This window comes from Homo sapiens, chromosome 1 (assembly GCF_000001405.40).
Source record: "Homo sapiens chromosome 1, GRCh38.p14 Primary Assembly".
In the NCBI taxonomy this organism is placed as follows: domain Eukaryota; kingdom Metazoa; phylum Chordata; class Mammalia; order Primates; family Hominidae; genus Homo; species Homo sapiens.
The window spans coordinates 56,686,130-56,705,978 of record NC_000001.11 but is presented as its reverse complement, the minus strand read 5'-3'; the positions used below and the strand labels follow the sequence as shown (position 1 = coordinate 56,705,978).

General features: G+C 36.1%; 1 protein-coding gene across 2 annotated transcripts in view; it reads right to left on the bottom strand.

Moving 5' to 3' along the window:
- Positions 1 to 19,849, bottom strand: part of PRKAA2 (protein kinase AMP-activated catalytic subunit alpha 2) — a 70,022-nt gene that overhangs the window by 9,357 nt on the left and 40,816 nt on the right. For both annotated transcript variants that reach the window (NM_006252.4, XM_017001693.2), the window contains exons 3-7: positions 14,492 to 14,585; positions 13,477 to 13,621; positions 12,127 to 12,214; positions 9,820 to 10,044; positions 1,504 to 2,008 (exon numbers count right to left, since the gene is read on the bottom strand). In NM_006252.4, the coding sequence (NP_006243.2) occupies positions 1,504 to 2,008; positions 9,820 to 10,044; positions 12,127 to 12,214; positions 13,477 to 13,621; positions 14,492 to 14,585 (1,057 nt within the window). The remainder of the gene's footprint in view (positions 1 to 1,503; positions 2,009 to 9,819; positions 10,045 to 12,126; positions 12,215 to 13,476; positions 13,622 to 14,491; positions 14,586 to 19,849) is intronic.

The following is a 19,849-nucleotide window of genomic DNA, read 5'->3' as shown; positions in this document are numbered from 1 at the left end:
TTTTTATATTACTGGTAGTTCACTTTAGTATTTATTTAATCCCCACTAAGCAGTACTGTATGGCAATTAAGATTTAAAGGAAAAGCTACTTGAATAAATTTGGGGTACTGAAGAAAAAAGTGAAAGATAAAGGAAAAACTTAAAGAGAACCCAGAGATTACATAGGGTCCAGCTTTCACTCTAGATAAGCATCAACTCTAAAACATCAATTCTAATTTGGTTGTCCAGTCTCTGCCTGAACATGTTCATGGATGATTATGGAGTAGAAGGAACAAAGAGGACCAGGCACAGTGGCTCACGCCTGTAATTCCAACACTTTGGGAGGCCAAGGTGGGTGGACCGCCTGAGCCCTGGAGCTTGAGACCAGCCTGGGCAACATGGTGAAACCCCATCTCTACAAAAACATACAAAAAAAATCAGCCGAGTGTGGTGGCAGGCGCCTGTAGTCCCAGCTACTAGGGAGGCTGAGGTGAGAGGATAGCCTGACCCTGGGTTGCAGTGAGCCAAGATCGCGCCACTGCACTCCAGCCTGGGCAACAGAGTGAGACCCTGTCTCAAAAAAACAAACAACAACAACAAAAAATAAACAAAAAAACAACACTGCTTTGGGTTTTCAAAACATCTGTGGTACTAATTTCAAAATGTTTCAGTACAGAATTTTAAAAATGTTAACGTCTCTTTTTTAACTAAATAAGACTGCTCCAAAACAGAGAGATCTGTTTTTTAAATGATTTTAAGAAAATATTCATTTCATGTACAAATAATAAAATGAAAATGACTGATTTATTTGAACACGTCAAATGCATATTTATGTGGTAAGTTTGCACATTTTTCTTCTTCCTTTAAAAGTTCACAATCCTCAAGAAAAGAACAAGAGTGAAAGGCATATCTGAAAAGAAAAAATGCCCCTCCCCACACATATATTCAAATAGAACTCAAATGAAATTGAGCACTAATTTTTAAGAAAAGCAAACTGTGGGCTGAGAGTAAGGAAAATGTACTCTAAGTATTAAAAGCACTAGCCAAATAAAAGAGAATATCACAACTTGGAGAAAAGTGTTTATTGACTGAATAAATATGTCCTGATGATATAATTTGTATCAACCACTAGCTATTACAGCCACCTGCCTCTGTCACCTAAAAAAAAGAGAAAAGAAAAATAACCTCCCTAAAAAAAAAAAGAGAAAGTAAAAACATACTATCTTTGAAGACACTCATGATTTTTCATTGCTATGATGCATGCTGAAACTGGTAAGCTATTTTCTCAGATGATTTCTAGTTGATTACTTTTTTCTTGACCAAGAACACTTCTATAATTCAAAATATGTTGGTTCCCAGTATCAACCACTTTTCATCCTTATAGAGGTTATTTGTTTTGTTTTTAATGTGCATAGCATATTACTAGAAAAAGTTGGGCTTAATACTCAACTCAGGAGCTCAGAGCAGCTTATAATATAGAAAAATGGCTTCTACAAATGATCTTATTACATTATAATTTCCTACCTTCCATTCAAAATCCAGCTGCTTCATAGCTCGGTAAACTTCAGCCATAATGTCATACGGTTTGCTCTGACTTCGGATTCCAAGATGCCACTTGGCTTTTTTCACAGCTAAAGATTTGGGCTTAGTCGTATTCAGTGCATCCAATGGACATCTTGCTTTGGGGCTGTCTGCTATAAGAGGTGGCATCCTTTCTGGATGAGGTTTCAGGCCTGGGGGAATATGCATGGCACTATCATCCATAAAAGAACCAGATGGAGGACTAGAGGCGAGGTAGAACTCACTGGCTTGGTTCATTATTCTCCGATTGTCAATGATAAGATGATAAGCCACTGCAAGCTGGTCTTGAGGGTCACCACTATATAAACTGTTCATTACTTCTGATTCTGTACATTCAAATTTTTCACACACTTCTTTCACAGCCTCATCATCAATGACGTTAGCATCATAGGAAGGGTCTTCAGGAAATAAGTAACTGGGCAAATCTTGTTTAAACCATTCATGCTCTCTAGGAAAAACACCACAATACATTATTGTAAGACATGGTTTGGCAAGTCCAAATAATTTAGACATAGGGCAATATAATAGAATATAATCAAAAGATCTGGTCTCTAGACCTAGCTCTGCCACTTACTAGCTATGTGATCCTGAGCAAGTTAATTACCCACCACCCTTGAATAACTATGGTTATTAAGACTTGGCATTTGGACAACATTTTCTCAAAAATGAAAAAAGCAAGCCCATCGCTTTAAGGAAAACAACCAGCAATATTTGTTGCCAATGATAAAATTCAAGCTTTCAAGCAAAAATTTCAAATTTTGTATTATTTGTGTGAGTTTAACAGCTTCTCAATACTTAAAGACTTTCTGATAAAGTTGGTGTTAATAATAATAAATATGCTTTTTTTCTTTTCCAACCACTTATCTGAGTGAGGTCAGACCTTCTTTACACACTTCAACTAATACAAAATAATGCAACAGACTGAATGAAGAAGGTATGAAAACCACACTTCAGCTAATACAAAATAGTGCAACAGATTGAATGAAGAAGGTATGAGAACCTAGCTGTCTTTGATATAAAGTAATTCTTCTCACAATTTTTTTTGGAAAATATGGTTATTTTTCATGAAAGATGTATTATTTAACATAGTTATTTTTAAGTAAATTACATATTTTCTTAATTTCTCAGTTTTAATTCTAATGTAGTAAATATTGATAGATAATAGCCTACATTTTAAAAAATCCCCCTTGAGGTCCTCAATAATTTTTAAGAGTTACAAGATTTTAAAATCAAAAAGTCTGAGAACTGCTCTCCTAAGCCTTATTTTCTCACACTTCTGGGCCTTTGTGCTTGATGTTACTATTGTTATCCTAGAATACCAAACCATTTTCATCTAACACAAACTACTCCTTCGAGATTGTTTAGGCATTATTACCTGGTAGAACTGGGCATCCCCTAAGTTCAGATGAAGATATATTCTGACTGAATGTCTTCTATTCACTGATTAATTTATTTTTGAATATTTACTGAGGACATACTATGGACAAAAAGAACCATTCCTCCCAAAGATTATATTTTAGCTGCACAGAGATTAAACAAATATACATAAAATATAGTTACAAATATACAAATATGCAAATCCTGTGATAAAGATTGCAAGAGAAATTGCATAGAGTAAAATGAGAGTATATAATTTAGAATGAGAGGCAGGTGATCAGGGAAGCCACTCTGAGTAATATTTAAGCTGACACTAGAATGATCTGAAGTCAGCTATGCAAAGAGTTGCAGAACAGATATTCCCAGCAAAAGAAACAATATGTGCAAAGACCATGAGACAAGAAAGAGTTATGCTGTGCTCTAGGAACTGGAATGAGCTCAACATCATGAAAGAAGAATGAGTTATGAGATGGAGTACCAAATGAAATCAGATATTTCTAAGAATTGTAGGCCATAAAAAGGAAATCTCATGATTTGAACTGGTGGTTGATGAAAATCATTGAAGGATTTTAAAGAGACAGGGTAGCATAACCTAGTTATCATTCTGTAAAGATCATTTTGTTTGTGGTATAGAAAATGAATTGAAAAGATAAAAATGATGCTGGGCGCCGTGGCTCACGCCTGTAATCCCAGCACTTTGGGAGGCCGAGGCAGGCGGATCACCTGAGGTCGGGAGTTCGAGACCGGCCTGACCAACATGGAGAAACACCGTCTCTACTAAAAATACAAAATTAGCCGGGCGTGGTGGCACATGCCTATAATCCCAGCTACTAGGGAGGCTGAGGCAGGAGAATCACTTGAACCTGGGAGGCGGAGGTTGCGGTGAGCCGAGATCGTGCCATTGCACTCCAGCCTGGGCAACAAGAGTGTAACTCCATCTCAAAAAAAAAAAAAAGAAAAGATAAAAATGATGATGGTGATGCTAGTTGCAATAGTCCAAGTAAGAAATACTGGTGTGCCAGGCCCTGAGGATATGTACAAAGATAAAACTTCTACAGCTACTAGACTTTTCTATCACAATACATTCTTTTAGTTGTTGATTTTTTTCTTAATCTTGCCCAGTAAACTGACAACTTCTTTTTTTTTTTGAGACAGAGTCTCGCTCAGTCACCCAGGCTGGAGTGCAGTAGCTCAATCTCCACTCACTGCAAGCTCTGCTTCCTGGGTTCACGCCATTCTCCGGCCTCAGCCTCCCGAGTAGCTGGGACTACAAGCACCTGCCACCATGCCCAGCTAATTTTTTGTTGTATTTTTTTAGTAGAGATGGGGTTTCACCGTGTTAGCCAGGATGGTCGCTGACCTCGTGATCCACCCGCCTCGGCCTCCCAAAGTGCTGGGATTACAGGTGTGAGCCACCGCGCCCGGCGACAACTTCTTGAAATAGTGACCATACCTTATTTAGCTCTACCCTACTACCTAGTAGAGTAAATGCTCAATAAATGCTGCATATATGATAAATAGACAAAGTATGGACACAAAAAATAATTCATTCATGTGTTTATTGGCTATATAATAATATTAAGCACCTATTAATGTTCAGCAATAAAAATAACTTGAGATAGATCTTTTCTATATATATTTTTTTTTGAGATGGAGTCTCGCTCTGTCACCCAGGCTGGAGTGCAGTAGCGCAATCTTGGCTCACTGCAACCTCTGCCTCCCAGGTTCAAGTGATTCTCCTGTCTCAGCCTCCCGAGTACCTGGGATTACAGGTGCACACCACCACACCCAGCTACAAAAGAAGTAAAAGAAGGCAAAAAATTATGTTACATGTCTAATATTTTTTAAATATCAATGACAAATAGAAAAGTTAAGCACTTTCAAAATAAACTCAAAAAATCTATTATTCCATAAAACAATAAAATACCAGCAAAAACTGTGAAAATCAACTTTTTCAGAACACCGGAAATTAACCAAAAACTGTGAAAATCAATTTTTTCAGAACCCTGGAAATTAACCAAAGGCTTGCAACAATCTGAAGACTGTTTATTCAAGAAAAATGGCTGAATCTCAATAAGAAAGGTGAGATTTGTGGCTTTTTAAGTTGCCCTAAGTCCGCTTCCCTTTGTCCAGCTCCTGGGCAGCCTTGAAAACCAACAGCCTCATAATCACAGAGCTGAGAAAACAGGAGCTTAACAATCACTGGGGCATTGAGGTGGGGAGAATAGAGGAGCAGAATAGTTTAGAGCTCCCCAAAAATCTTACCATGAGAGAACTGTCATTATTTTACATGTCTAGCAGTTCTCTGGAAACCTCCACTCACAAGCCTGGTTTTTATGTGACCTGACTCAGAGCTTACTCCTGCAAACAGCCTTCTCCCCAGGGCATTTGTTAAAAAAGAAAAAACAAAAATCAATGGCAACTGTCTAACATCGCAACTGCCTGAAGCAGCAGTGAAAGCTGGGTAAAGGAAAAGCTGACCAAAACACTTAAAAGGAAAAATTAGGAAACACAATTTCCAGAGGGGTCTTTGGAAAGCTCTGATATATTTCTGGGACTCAGAAAGGCCAGAAACAAATGCAGAGTTGTGTGTTTGCCTGAGAAAAAATTGAAAGGGCCATAATTTCTCACCACTGGCAGATTTTGAGGCTCTGCACAAGCAGGAAGTGAAGGCTAAGGCAGAGTTACAACTGCCTGTTGGAGCACTAAGGATATACCCCAATATCACACAAAGCCCATTAGCAAAGGATGGGAGACTTATTAGATCAGGGCATTTAAGGAAATTGTTATCTAATCACTAGCTGATCATTAAGCAAACCAAAGAGAGATTTCAGTAGCCATATATAAAAAAGAATACAGATTTTACAGAATCAGATCAGGAAAATCACTAAACAAACAGAAGTAGCAGCAACAACATACGACAATTATAAACTCTAGGTATATACACCGAAGAGAAATGAAAGCATAGCCATACAAACTGTGTATGTAAATGTTCATGGAAACAGTAGTCATAAAAGCCACAAATTAGAAACAATTCAATCTTCGTTAACTAATGCATAAACTAAATGTAGTATATTCATACACTGGAATATTTTTCAAGCAAAAAAAATGAAGTACTAATACATGCTACAGTAGGAAAGTACTTTGTAAACATTATGCTAAATGATAGATGCCAGATACAAAAGACCACATACTGTATGATTCCATTTATATGAAATGTCCACAACAGGCACAAACACAGAAAGTAGATTAGTGGTTGCCAGGGGATAGGAGGAAGGGGAAATGGGGAGTGACTATTAGTGTGTATAGTTTCTTTCACGGATGATAAAATAGTTCTGGAATTAGATGGCCGTAATGATTATGGAACTTTGTGAATACACTAAAAGCCAGTGAATTATACAATCTAAAGGGATAAATTTATGATATGTGAATTATATTTTAAAAATTAATTTTAAAAAACAATAAGGAAACAATCTAAATTTGATTTCTAATTCATTAATTTAGTCAAATGGCCATAATTGTTTGTAATAACTGACAATTTTAAAAGCCATCTTTCTAGCTTTTGATTTTCAGGAGTCAGTTTCTGAACTAACTCTACCAAAGTGAGCAGTAACTAGGATGTTTATGAAGGTTCATCTGAGACAAAAGCAATTCACTTCACATGGGCTATTATACAGGCATCAGAAATTATATTTTTCTATCACTACTACCTGATACCTGAAATTGATATATGACTTAAGGTTAGATTATAAAGACTATCAAATTTTAGAAACCTCATGATATGCCCAAATTTCTTTAAGTGCAGCTAAAAGGTTTTCAAATATTCCCTCAAAAATAATAATAGCTAATATTATGTTCTAGACATTGTTCTAAAAGCTTTAATTATATTAAGTTGAGTATTTGCAGTTTCTGATATTCAATCATTTTCAGACCTACTTAAATGGCAATTTCACAAGGTTTGATCTATGACTACGCTCCCCAAAATTCTAATATATGTGGGAAGTAACTAAGTTGCACATAGCTAATAAACAGATGCACTGGGATTTGTGCTCAGTTGAACTTCAGACCGCTCACTTTAACTATGATAACATTAATACTATTACTAAGCTTAAGATACCTGGAGAACACAAAGATGTGTTTTCCATGAAGATAATATCTATCTTGTTTACCACTATATTACCAGCACCTAGCACAAGACCTTGCACAGAGCAGATGTGAAATAAATATTTGTTGAATGAATAAAAGCGAAAATGGTTAAATAAGCAAATAAATATGAAGATATATTTCCGAACTTCCAATGGCTATCTTACAAGAAAATAATAGATGTACAAAAATAATATTGAGACAGTAAGTATGTAGTAGCATAAGAGATAAATAAAATATGATAGATTGAAAGGATAGATATCACAGAACTGATGTAACAATTTGGAATAGTATAAATGGCACAGGTTTTGAATTCAGGTAAAGTTCCAAGTTGAGCCCCATTGTGCTCCTTATTAGTTGTGTAATTTTCAACAAACACAGATTTACTTAACATTTAATATGTGTTAGACCTTGTGCATTTTGCTATGAATTAATAATTGGTCCCTAATTTAAAGTAATTTATAATTTAATAGGGGCAAACAGATACATAAATCATGATGTAACCTTTCTGAGCTTCAGTTTCATGGTTTGTAAAATGGTTTATAGCTATATATGAAAAGTCAATGCAATAACATAAGTTAAGCCATAAAGCAGAATGCTTGGTATTTTGTAATTTTTCCATGATTAGTAATTCTTTTCCCTATTGAACTATATTTTATCAAATCAAGAATTCCCAAACATTGGCCAGGCGTGGTGGCTTATGCCTGTAATCCTAGCACTTTGGGAGGCCAAGATGGGAAAACTGCTTTAGGCCAGGAGTTCAAGACCAGCCTGGTAAACATAGCAAGACCCCATCTCTTTAAAAAAAAAAAAAAAAAAGAATTAAAAAAATGAGAATTCCCAAACATTAAAAAATTGAATATAGATAAGTAAATATATATATGACATAAATTTAAAAAGATGAAAACTATAGATTCAAGTTATCATATTAAAGTATAGAGATGAATGATACTTTCATGCCATCTACCTACGTACAAATTAACTCTTCCCAGTAAATATATTTACATTTTTCTTCTGAAGTATATAAATATACAAACACCTGTTTTAAAGCAATGAATCATTACCATTTGACTTTTTTTTTAATAAAAAAAAAATTTTAATATAGATGGGCGCTTACTATGTTGACCAGGCTAGTCTTGACCTTCTGGGCTCAAGCAATCTTCCCATCTCAGCCTCGCAAAGTGTTGGGATTACAGGCATGAGACACTGCCCCCAGCCTATTACTATTCTAAATGTATATGCTGATATGAGCAGCTGCAAATATATCAGCATGTCTAATTTTCTAAGGAAAAGTCATTAACAGAAGTATATATGCTAAAGAACTATAAACACAAAGAGTTTTTTTCCTGCTAAGTTCATTTTTATAATTAAATCTGGTGGCTAATTTACACTTTTACATTGTTATACATGAGGTTTGGAACACTGAAGAAAGGCTGGGAAAAGAAAATGATACATAAATGCAAAAAGAATCATCAGTCCTTGCCTGTATGAAATCAGCAGCAGTCACATAAACAGCTATCTCAGCCATCATTTAAATATTCCAAAGGTCAGAGGTCTCAAAACAGTCTTTTCTGGAACTGGGTGCAACGACTCACACTTGTAATCCCAGCACTTTGGGAGGGCAAGGTGGGTGGATTGCTTGAGCCCAGAAGTTCAAGACCAGCCTGGGCAACATGGCAAAACTCCATTTCTACTAAAAATAAAAAAATTAAAAAAAATTAGCTGGGTGTGGTGGCTTGTGCCTATAGTCCCAGCTACTCAGGAGCCTGGGGTGGGAGGAACACCTCAGCTTGGGAGGTTGAGGCTACCTACAGTGAGCTGTGATCACACCACTGCACTCCAGCCTGGGCGACAGAGTGAGACCCTGCCTTAAAAAAAAAAAAAAATTCTTTGCTGGCTAATGATGAAAAGGGGAAAGAGTTCTGGAAAGATGTCAAAAGAACATGTTTGTAAACAAACACGGATGAAATCTTAGGTAAGAAGAAAAAACCTCTAAGAAACATGCCTTGATAAGTCATAGGCAGGATGCAGTGAATCATCTTGCTACTATACACAGGTGTGGGATATACAAAGGTCATATTCATAGGCGCATCAGCAATGGCACTTTCCAAACTTTCTCAAGTGACAAAAAAGCCTTCACAGTAAGCTGACTAGCAGCTATTGAATTCAAAAACTTAGCAAAACTTTTTATGCTTTATGTCTTTAACCATATGTAAAATACAAAATCTCACCCTATTTCTCCATTTGAAATTTCTTCAGACACTTTCTAAGCATACCATCTTTCCAGGCCTTTTAGCATTGTGTAGTCAAAGATGAATAAGACACACTCTCTACCCTGATATCATAATTTAAGAGAGAAAAAAGACACACTGAGAAATAACTAGATACAGGATGAGGATTAAATAATAAAAGCATGAACAAAATGTTGATAAAACAGAAATGGAAGCACGTGTGGAAATCACAAAAGGGGTGGCATGAACTTTAATGGATGAATGGAAGTCTATCAGGTCAAAAAAGAAACAAGAAAAGACATCAAGGCAAAGTGAATAATATAAACAAAGACATGAAGGCATAAAATCTATGTTAGGTTTGAGAAACAAGGACAAGTTCAATGTGGCTGAAGCATGAGTACTGGGGTGAGGTGGTGAGGGCAGGAAATGAGACTTTGGGAGAATCATTTAATTAACATTATTATTCCTATGAGAAAATATGCAGAACAGAAACAAAAAGAAAAATCACCTTATGTCTTTGATAGTTGCTCGTTTCAGTGGGTCAACCTGCAGCATATGCATCAGGAGAGTGGCGACAGAACGATTGAGATATTCTGGGATATAAAAGACACCCCCTCGGATCTTCTTAAATAACGTAGGTACATGCTCATCATCAAATGGGAGGGTGCCACAAAGAAGAGCATACAAGATAACACCACAGCTCCAGATATCAACTTCAGGACCTGCATACAATCTAAGAAAAAAGATGACAACACAAACCTGAAATGCAAGAATCACTTTTTCTCTATGTACCCTACTTCTATATATAGGTAGTCTACATTCAGTACATATTCATTTCCAAGGTCTTTAATGAAGTCCATGGCTGCTCCCCAATATTCAGTGTTTGTTCCCCAAAGAGAGTAATGGGGCTAGCCAACTACTATTCAAGCCTGCCAAGTGAATAGGGTATTTTTATTTGTCACAAATTCATTTAACTGAAACATACGAATTAAAACATATAATACTTTCTGTGGTTGATTTTTGAGGGAAACAAAGTAGATGACCACAAACTTGAAAAAATACTATGGTGTATAGGTTAAATCTTTTTCCCAAAGAACTATTACAAGAAAGAAAACATATATATAATGTATACATATAATAGAATTTCTACCCCTGGCACACCTTTAAAGAATATTAAGGCTGGTCACGGTAGCTCACACCTGTAATCCTAGTACTTTGGGAGGCTGAGGCGGGCGGATTGCTTGAGGCTACGAGTTTGAGGCCAGCCTGGGCAACATGGTGAAACGCTGTTTCTACTAAAAATACAAAAAATAGCCAGGGATGGTGGTGCACATCTTAGTCCCAGCTACTCAGAAGGCTGAGGTGGGAGGATCATCTGAGCCCAGGAGGTGGTACAGTGAGCTGAGATTGTGCCACTGCACTCTAGCCTAGGTGACAGAGCGAGACTCTATCTCAAAACAAAAAATATATATATATATATATATAATATATCATATATATAGAGAGAGAGATATTTAAAACATTAAAGTACTTAATTAGTACTGTGTAGACAGTATTTATCCTGTATCACATTATCCTGAGTACTTACTATTTCTATTCTCATCACTTCCTAACTCATATGACTAAAATCATCTTTGATCCAGATAACCTATGCTTATAGTATTATTCCTTTTTTCTCTTACGTTTCTACAGCATTACAATTCCCATGATAGCATATTACCATACTCAAACCTGGGTCTGAGGTAACAAAGTAAATCTTTACTATTCTAATGAAAAGAATATAATCTGTTTATATAAAAAATGGTGATTGTTTACATCATTTGCTGTATTGTTCAAACTCCTTGCAATGGACTGAATGCTTATGTCCTCTCAAAATTCATGTGTTGAAATCCTAACCCCCAAGGAGATAGTATTAGGAGGTGGGGACTTAAGGGGGGTGATTAGGTCACTAGTGCAGAGTTCTCATGAATGGGATTAGTGCCCTTATAAGAGCGACCCCAGAGAGATCCCTTGTCCCTTTCACCATGTGAAGTTACAGTGAGCATACAGTAGTCTATTAGGAAGCAGACCCTCACCAGATACCAAATCTTGATCTTGGACTTCCCAGACTTCAGAACTGTGAGAAATACATTTCTGTTGTTTATAAGCTATCACCTTTATTGTATCTTTCTTATAGCAGCCCAAATGGACTAAGATAATTCTTTATCTGCTATTTGCAATAATACTTTAACCATATTTTCTCTTATAGGATTCTGTTAACTTTTAAAATCACACGTTGATCACTGTAGAAAGACTTGAGTTTACCACTGCAATCTGTATAAACATTTTTATAATGTACCAATGAATAAGTTATGAGTAACTACACAATCTCTACTTGTGTAATTTCATGAAACAATATTTTCCCCCAAAATCTCATTTTTCCAAACACAAAATATAAAACAATGCTCTATATACTTTGGAAAATATGCAAGGTATTATTAAAGAACTATATCTAATAAATAAATGACACTAGCTTAAATTTAGCAAATTCTTACTCTCTTATCTGCACTTTTGTAAAATGAAAGATATGTTAAATCAGGATCTACTTCAGTTATTTTTCTAATGGGGAAAACTTCGTAAGTATATTTATAATGACATCTAAATGAAATGTTTAACATTTTTTGATATAACCATTATCCCTTTAACAGTGGAAAAATAAATGAATAATCCATTTCTACCATGTTAAAATCTTACCTTCCATAGAGAATATATTGTAATTAAATGTTATCAAAATGAACACAAGATTACAAAAAGCTTATGCTTCACTGATTATTACCTGCCTGAGATGACTTCAGGTGCTGCATAATTTGGAGATCCGCAACTAGTTCTCAGAAATTCACCATCTGACATCATATTAGATAATCCTAAAAATAAAAGTAATGTTTACTTGGTGCTAGATATTTTTAAAAGTAGATAAAGTCATATAAATATGAGCAAAATTTCAAGTCCTGGATCCTCCATATATCATTTTTTTTTAAGTTATTAAAAAAAAGCAGTGGAAAGCATTTAACTGGAAAGAGACCGTCTCAGAGTGCTTACACTGTAACAAAAAGCTAAAGCACATCACATATATGAGTGAAACTAAATTTCCTTTCTAAATAAAAATGTTGATTCCCATCACAAATGAGGTTATTCTGAAGCATATTAACTTTCCCAAACATGAAAACATCAAAATATTATTTACCTATTTCCATAGTTGAAAGAATAAAATAGAGACTACTACTTTTTTGCCCTGTGCTTTCAAAAGCCTCTTTAAATTCTGTAATTAGAAACCAGATGGGCCCCACCTCATAAAGAGATTATGTTCCAAAAGTTTTTAATTTAGAAATATTTAATTCAACATGGAAAAAATAATCTATTGAACCAAAAATCTAGCTGAGCTATAGTAATAAATAAGTTTCATGATTTAGAGAAGGAAGAGAAATAGAGAAAGTAGTTTCTAGGTTTTTAGATTAAAGACAAGGTATAGACCACAAATAGGCAACAATAGCCTGTACCTTTCTATCTCTTTCTCTTTAATCTCTCACTTCCTAGTCTTTTTCTCAAATACCCTATTAAGGCATCCTTTCCACGTATGTTTATCCCAGAAAGTGTTTGGAGTATAAAAATCACATTTTATGTACCTTTTACCCCTGACAAAAACTGTTCTCTAATCAAGTTATTAGACGTTACACCTAAGGACCTCTTTGTGGATCAGTTCAGAAGGGCTTTTTTCCAACTGCATGCATATTTTCAGGTACCTTGGTTTATATGCATTCATCAGGGAAAGTGCCCATACTTTCATGAGATTTTCAAAGAAGTCTGGGACTCCTCCCCTCTCTTCAAAAAAAAAAAAAACAAAAAAACAGTTATGCATCATTTCCTTAGGAGAAAATGCAGATTGAATGGATTTATCTTGATGACAACCTTCTAACTTCTCTAGAGGTATCTGCATTTTTAAAGTGTATTTAATGAAAATTAATGAAAATTTAATTAAATGAAAAAAAAAAGCTACTGAGGAGATTTCAGCTAATTCCTTTTCATGGTACAGAACGTACAAGGTTGAAAAGTAAAGTTCTTAGTTCAATGAGTTGTTATGCTTTAAAAGGTAGCTAGTACCTTTCTGAACAACCCTGGAGTTACATACCGAAATCGGCTATCTTGGCATTCATGTGTGCATCCAACAGGACATTCTCTGGTTTCAGGTCTCGATGAACAACCATATGCCTATGACAGTAATCCACAGCAGACAGAATCTGCTGAAAGAGCCGCCTGGCTTCCATCTCTTCAACCTATCAAGCACAAAAGAAACTGCATTAAGAATATCTGGGGCTGGGCACAGTGGCTCATGCCTGTAATCCCAGCCAAGGCAGGTGGATTACCTGAGGTCAGGAGTTTGAGACCAGCCTGACCAATAAGGTGAAACTCCATCTCTACTAAAAATACAAAAATTAGCCGGGCATGGTGACATGCACCTGTAGTTCCAGCTACTCAGGAGAGTGGGACACGAGAATTGCTTGTACCAGGAGGCAGAGGTTGCAGTGAGCTGAGATCATGCCACTGCGCTCCAGCCTGGGCAACAGAGCAAGAGTCTGTCTCAAAAAAAAAAAAAAAAAAAAAATCTGAGACATCTATTTGACAAGAGTTTTAATTTCATAATTAGGCTAAATATAATTAAGCAAGCTAGAATTATGTTGGAATTCTCAACAAATCAGACAAAATAAACCAACCAAAAGCTTGTCAAAGCTCAACATGTCAAAAGACAAGTTTGTCTTTGTCGCTAAGCAGAAATATTTAAATTTCAATTAATATTATTAAATGTGCACAATGTTTTGGGGAATTGACAGTAAAACAAACTAAAACAGAACATATGTGAAAGTGCTAAGAAAAGGAAATAACTGATCTTCAACATGATTTTATGGAACAGATTTTAAAAAGCATACGCATCATGTTGGCAATTAAGTGAAACATATTTTCTAAAATCAGTATTTCAAAAGGAATGCTTTTTAAGAAAGAAAATTTATCTAACACTCTACATGTTTAGTTGAGCACTACCATAAAAGCAACTTCAACCTTGAAGATATCTTTGCATTGTTCTATGTCCCAATACTTTCCTTTTTATTAGTTTAGAGATTTAGTGTACCAGATAGTATGTTACTCACCCGTCCATGCTTACAGATGTAGTCAAATAATTCACCTCCAGACACATATTCCATTACCATAAAAAAATCTGTTGGAGTGCTGATCACCTGGTATCTTTTTTGTTAATTAAAAAAAGTTAACAAAGTATGTTACTTTAACCAAAATCAAACTGGTATATCTACTCTTGCTACAATTTTATATTTCAATGTTTTATAATACTTTAAGATGGCAACAAATTACATGTTATCAAAATAATCACAGAGCAATAAACACGGACCATTACAAAATTATTCTATTTCTTGAGGCTCACGGCCGTTCCTTTAGATCCTCCCTTTCAAGTTTACATAATTTTTGAAATCTTTCCCTCTTCAACAACTAATTTTTCCATATAAACAAAAATTTGTTTACAGTAAAAGGAGATGAGGTATCACATATTTAAAGATAAACAGAAAATATACTTGGGCCAGACACTATGGCTCATGCCTGTAATCCCAGCACTTTGGAAGGCCAAGGTGGGAGAATCACTTGAGCTCAGGGCAATGTTTTGGGGAATTGACAGCAAAACAAACTAAAACAGAACATACATGAAAGTGCTAAGAAAAGAAAATAACTGATCTTCAACATGATTTTATGGAACCGATTTTGAAAAGCATAGGCTTCATGTTGGCAATTAAGTGGAATATATCTTCTAAAGTCAGTATTTTACCAGCCTGGGCAACATAGCAAGACCTCATTTCTGTAAAACATACATATATTTTCCTGGACACGTAACATGATACTACAGGGATACATTCAGCAAAATCCAGGAAGTGAAAAATGACCATTTCCTCAACAAATAAAATGCAAGAAAAAAAGGGAAAGGATAAACTATACGTTAAAAGTAACTTAAGAGACATATTGACCAATTATGCTGTATAGACTTATTTTGATTCTGATTCAAATAAACCAACTTTAAAAACCATTTATGAAACAATCAGGAAAGTCTACATGCTGATTAGTGGTGGATAATGTTGTTAATTATTTTAATTAAGATGTGATAGGCCGGGCGTGGTGGCTCACGCCTGTAATCCCAGCACTTTGGGAGGCCGAGGCGGACAGATCACAAGGTCAGGAGATTGAGACCATCCTGGCTAAACCAAACACGGTGAAACCCCGTCTCTACTAAAAATACAAAAAATTAGCTGGGCATGGTGGCGGGCACCTGTAGTCCCAGCTACTCGGGAGGCTGAGGCAGGAGAATGGCGTGAACCCGGGAGGCAGAGCTTGCGGTGAGCCAAGATCGTGCCACTGCACTCCAGCATGGGCAACAGAGCGAGACTCCGCTTCAAAAAAAAAAAAAAAAAGATGTGATGATACTATGCTTATGTTATTTAGAGTTTAAAAAAGTATTTTCTAGAGTAGATACTGAAGAGTTTACAGATTAAAAAGATAATGTTGAGATTTGCTTCAAAATAATCTGGCGTAGATAAAACAATGAATTGACTACTGTTGAAGGTGAATAAGACATGCATGGGGTTTCACCGCGTTACTTTTGTAAATGTTAAACAATTCCCATCATGAAAAATTAAGAGTGTGTGTGTGTGTGTGTGTGTGTGTGTGTGTGTGTGTGTCTGTGTGTCTGTGTTTCTAGGCATCCAAAGCTGGGCACATTAAAAACTAAGAAAAAAAATTAGCTTTATTTGATAAAATAAATTTTTTTCCCAAAAACTACAACTTACACCCCTATACACAATTTTACCAAACCAAGTTTTGGAGACGTTAAAATTAGTTACTTTTTTTCTTTTGTTTGAGACAGAGTCTTGCTCTGCCACTCAGGCTGGAGTGCAGCGGCCATGCTCTCGGCTCACTGCGCACCCCACCTCCTGGGTTCAAGAAATTCTCCTGCCTCAACCTCCCGAGTAGCTGGGACTACAGGCATGCACCACCATGCCCGGCTAATTTTTGTATTTTTAGTAGAGAGGGGGGTTTCACCATGTTGGCCAGGCTGGTCTCGAACTCCTGACCTCAAGTGATCTGCCCGCCTTGGCCTCCCAAAATGCTGGGATTACAGGCATGAGCCACCAAGCCTGGCCAGAAGAAATATTTTGAATGGCAATCATTAGTCTTTGGGAAGAAACATGGCAAGGTATTCTAATTTATATAAAATAAACGAATATGACTGAAGAAGAATTGAGACTATTTCAAATGAACTTTGGAAAGGTAATTATACTGAGAACTCTAGAAGAAATAGTTTTATAAAAGCTATCTTTACAAGCACCAAAGTGATCACGTAAACTGAATACTGTAGGGCAGGTGCATCTGCTGTAGCACCTCACTGTAGGTTGGTCTGATTTAGTAACAATTTTCAATCACTTTTGTGCTCTGTACATCCTAGATGGGGCACAAAAGAAAAGAAGTGATGACATTCTAATAAATAAATTTAGCTGCCATTTCTGAGTATATCACAGGTCTTCAACAGATATTCTTGGAATTAATTATTTCATGAAACCTCTAAATCCTTAGCAGCCACTGTCTTACACTAAAGGCCAGTCTAGAGCAATGAAAATCATAACGTTACTAAGCACTTACTGTCTGCCAGGCACTAAGCTATTAAATGGTGACACAACATTTATTGAGTACCTACTTGTATTGTACTCGGTGAGATCAAAAGTTGGTGCCTCTACTCGTGGAGCTTACAGTTTAGCCAGAAAGACAGACATTAAATAAAGATTCTCTTCAAACACAAATATGATCTCCAGTAGCCTCTCAATTTAGAATCTTCAAAGGTTTCCCATTGCTCTTAGGTCCTGAATAAATCAGGCCCTTGCCATCTCTGTTGTTTGGTCTCACCTTTGAGTCACAACACTGAGTCATACTACATTTTTCAGTGTTAGTCATGCTGTACCTCCTCCTGCTACAGCTCCTTTGTATAAGCTGTTTTCACTGACCTGAATCCTATACTATGACCTGAGTGAGCCCTAATCATCCTTTAGATCTCAGCTTAAAAGTCACTTCCTAAGTCCAGGTGAGGTGCCTTTTTGCACTCACAGATGCGTTTTCCTGAGCTTCAGACCACGCATCTCAGTTTGTAATTATATGTTTTTATTATTACAATAATTTGATTAATGAATATGTATTTAGTAAAGTGCCTATAACAAAGTAGGTATTTAAGTAAATGTATAAATTAGCACTTTTAAATAACGTGAGTGCTTAGAGCCAAAACCAGAGTAATCTGAAACTGAAAAATCATAGCAAAATTACAGCAAAACTTCAACCAATAAAATTTCCCTTTGTCCCCCACCCCTAACCACAATGGGGTAGGGACAAAGGGAAACAAATTTCAGAAGGAAGACGTCTTAAAAAGACAGTTTTACATTAAGGATTTAGTGGAAAAGGCAAATTCCAGGATTACATTCTAAGCCTGGCCTGAGTAAGTCAAATCTCTTGTGCTGTCTAAAATACAAGTATATTGAAGCATTACAAGAAATTCAATCATGAATCACTCATACTTCTCAGTATTATTTTCCTAGTACAGCAGAGAAATAAACTAATGTAGTTTAAAAATTTTTCAGAAACAGCATTTCTAATTGGTAAAAATAAATTAATAATCCAGAAAAATCCTAAGCATTTTCCAGTTGACCAAGTTATACGCATTTTTAGGAAATAGCCACATAAAATAGTATATGAAAATCAAAAAAAATAGAAATCTTTCCAAAGTTAGCCAAAAATCAACATTCATGAGTACACCTTTTTGGTGGTAAAATCTATTGAGATTTTAGAATATTATTTATGTAGCTACATACACATAAGATTTTTCTTTAGTTAGAACTCAGTTACATAGAAATGTAGCAATCATGCTTGGTTGATGACACTTGTCTTCAGTAGTCCATGAATGACCTTTTATTTAATTACTATTTTTAATAATGTAATACCTACAAACCCATCACTCAGACAAAAAGGCCAAGACCTTGACAACAGCTTCCAACTAATTAATATAGGGATCCGCCTTCCCCATCCCATTGCTTCTCACCCAATGCAGCTGTCATCCTGAACACCCTGTTTATCCTTTCCTCCCCACCTCTTTTATACAGTTTATATATGTACATATGCATGTGTGTGTATCCCCTCTCTCTACATATGTATATTTCATATATATGAATAATTCAAATTCATATATATGTTAAACTGTTCTTTGCTTTAAAAACCAGGTATCACGCTCTATGTAATATTCTAGAAGTTATTTTATTGAGATTCAATCCTATTGTTGTGTTTGCTGTAGTTATTTGATTTGACCATTGTTATATCCTATTGTATTTATTCATCTACTCTACCACTAAAGAGTTTTGGCCAGGTGCGGTGGCTCATACCTGTAATCCCAGCACTTTGGGAGGCCGAGACAGGTGAATCACCTGAGGTCGAGAGTCTGAGACCAGCCTGACCAACATGGAGAAACCCCATGTCTACTAAAAATAAAAAATTAGCCAGGCGTGGTGGCACATGCCTGTAATCCCAGCTACTAGGGAGACTGAGGTACGAGAATCGCTTGAACCTGGGAGGTGGAGGTTGCGGTAAGCTGAGATCACGCCATTGCACTCCAGCCTGGGCAACAAGAGTGAAACTCTGTCTCAAAAAAAAAAAAAAAAAAGAGTATTTAGGTTGTTTCTATAATGTTGCTATTATTTGCTGCTGTGAACATTAATATGGTTTGTATGTTCATCCCCTCCAAATCTCATGTTGAAATGTGATTCCCAATGTTGAACATGGGGACTGGTGGGAGGTGATTGGATCATGGGGGTAGATCCATCCCTCATGAATGGTTTAGCACCATTGCCTCAGTAATAAGTGAATTCTTGCTCAGTTCATAAGAGAGCTGGTTGTTTAAAGGAGACTGGCTCTTCCTCCTTCCTCTCTTGCTCTCCCTCACCATGTGACACCCTGGCTGCCAGTTGCCTTCTGTCATGATTGTAAGCTTCCTGAGACCCTTACTAGAAGTAAAAGCCAGCACCATGTTTCCTGTACAGCCTGCAGAACTGTGGGCCAATTAAACCTCTTTTCTTTATAAATTACCCAGCCTTCAGTATTCCTTTATAGTAATGTAAAAATGGACTAACACGAACATTCTTCTACATGGCAAGATTTTCTCCTTGATATACACTGATGAGTGCAACTGCTGAGTCATAGTTATTGTGTATGTTCCAATTGAAAAGATAATACCAAAGACAGTTTTCCAAAGAAAGTTTGGCAATGCTAAAATCTTTAGAAAACTGGTGGATTTATATATTCTCCAACAGTTGCAAAACACCATATACATTTCTTCGTAGAAAATGCTGTGTCTTTTGCCCATGCTTATTGAGTTGACAGTACTTTTCTTATTTATGTATGGACATATAGAATAAGTC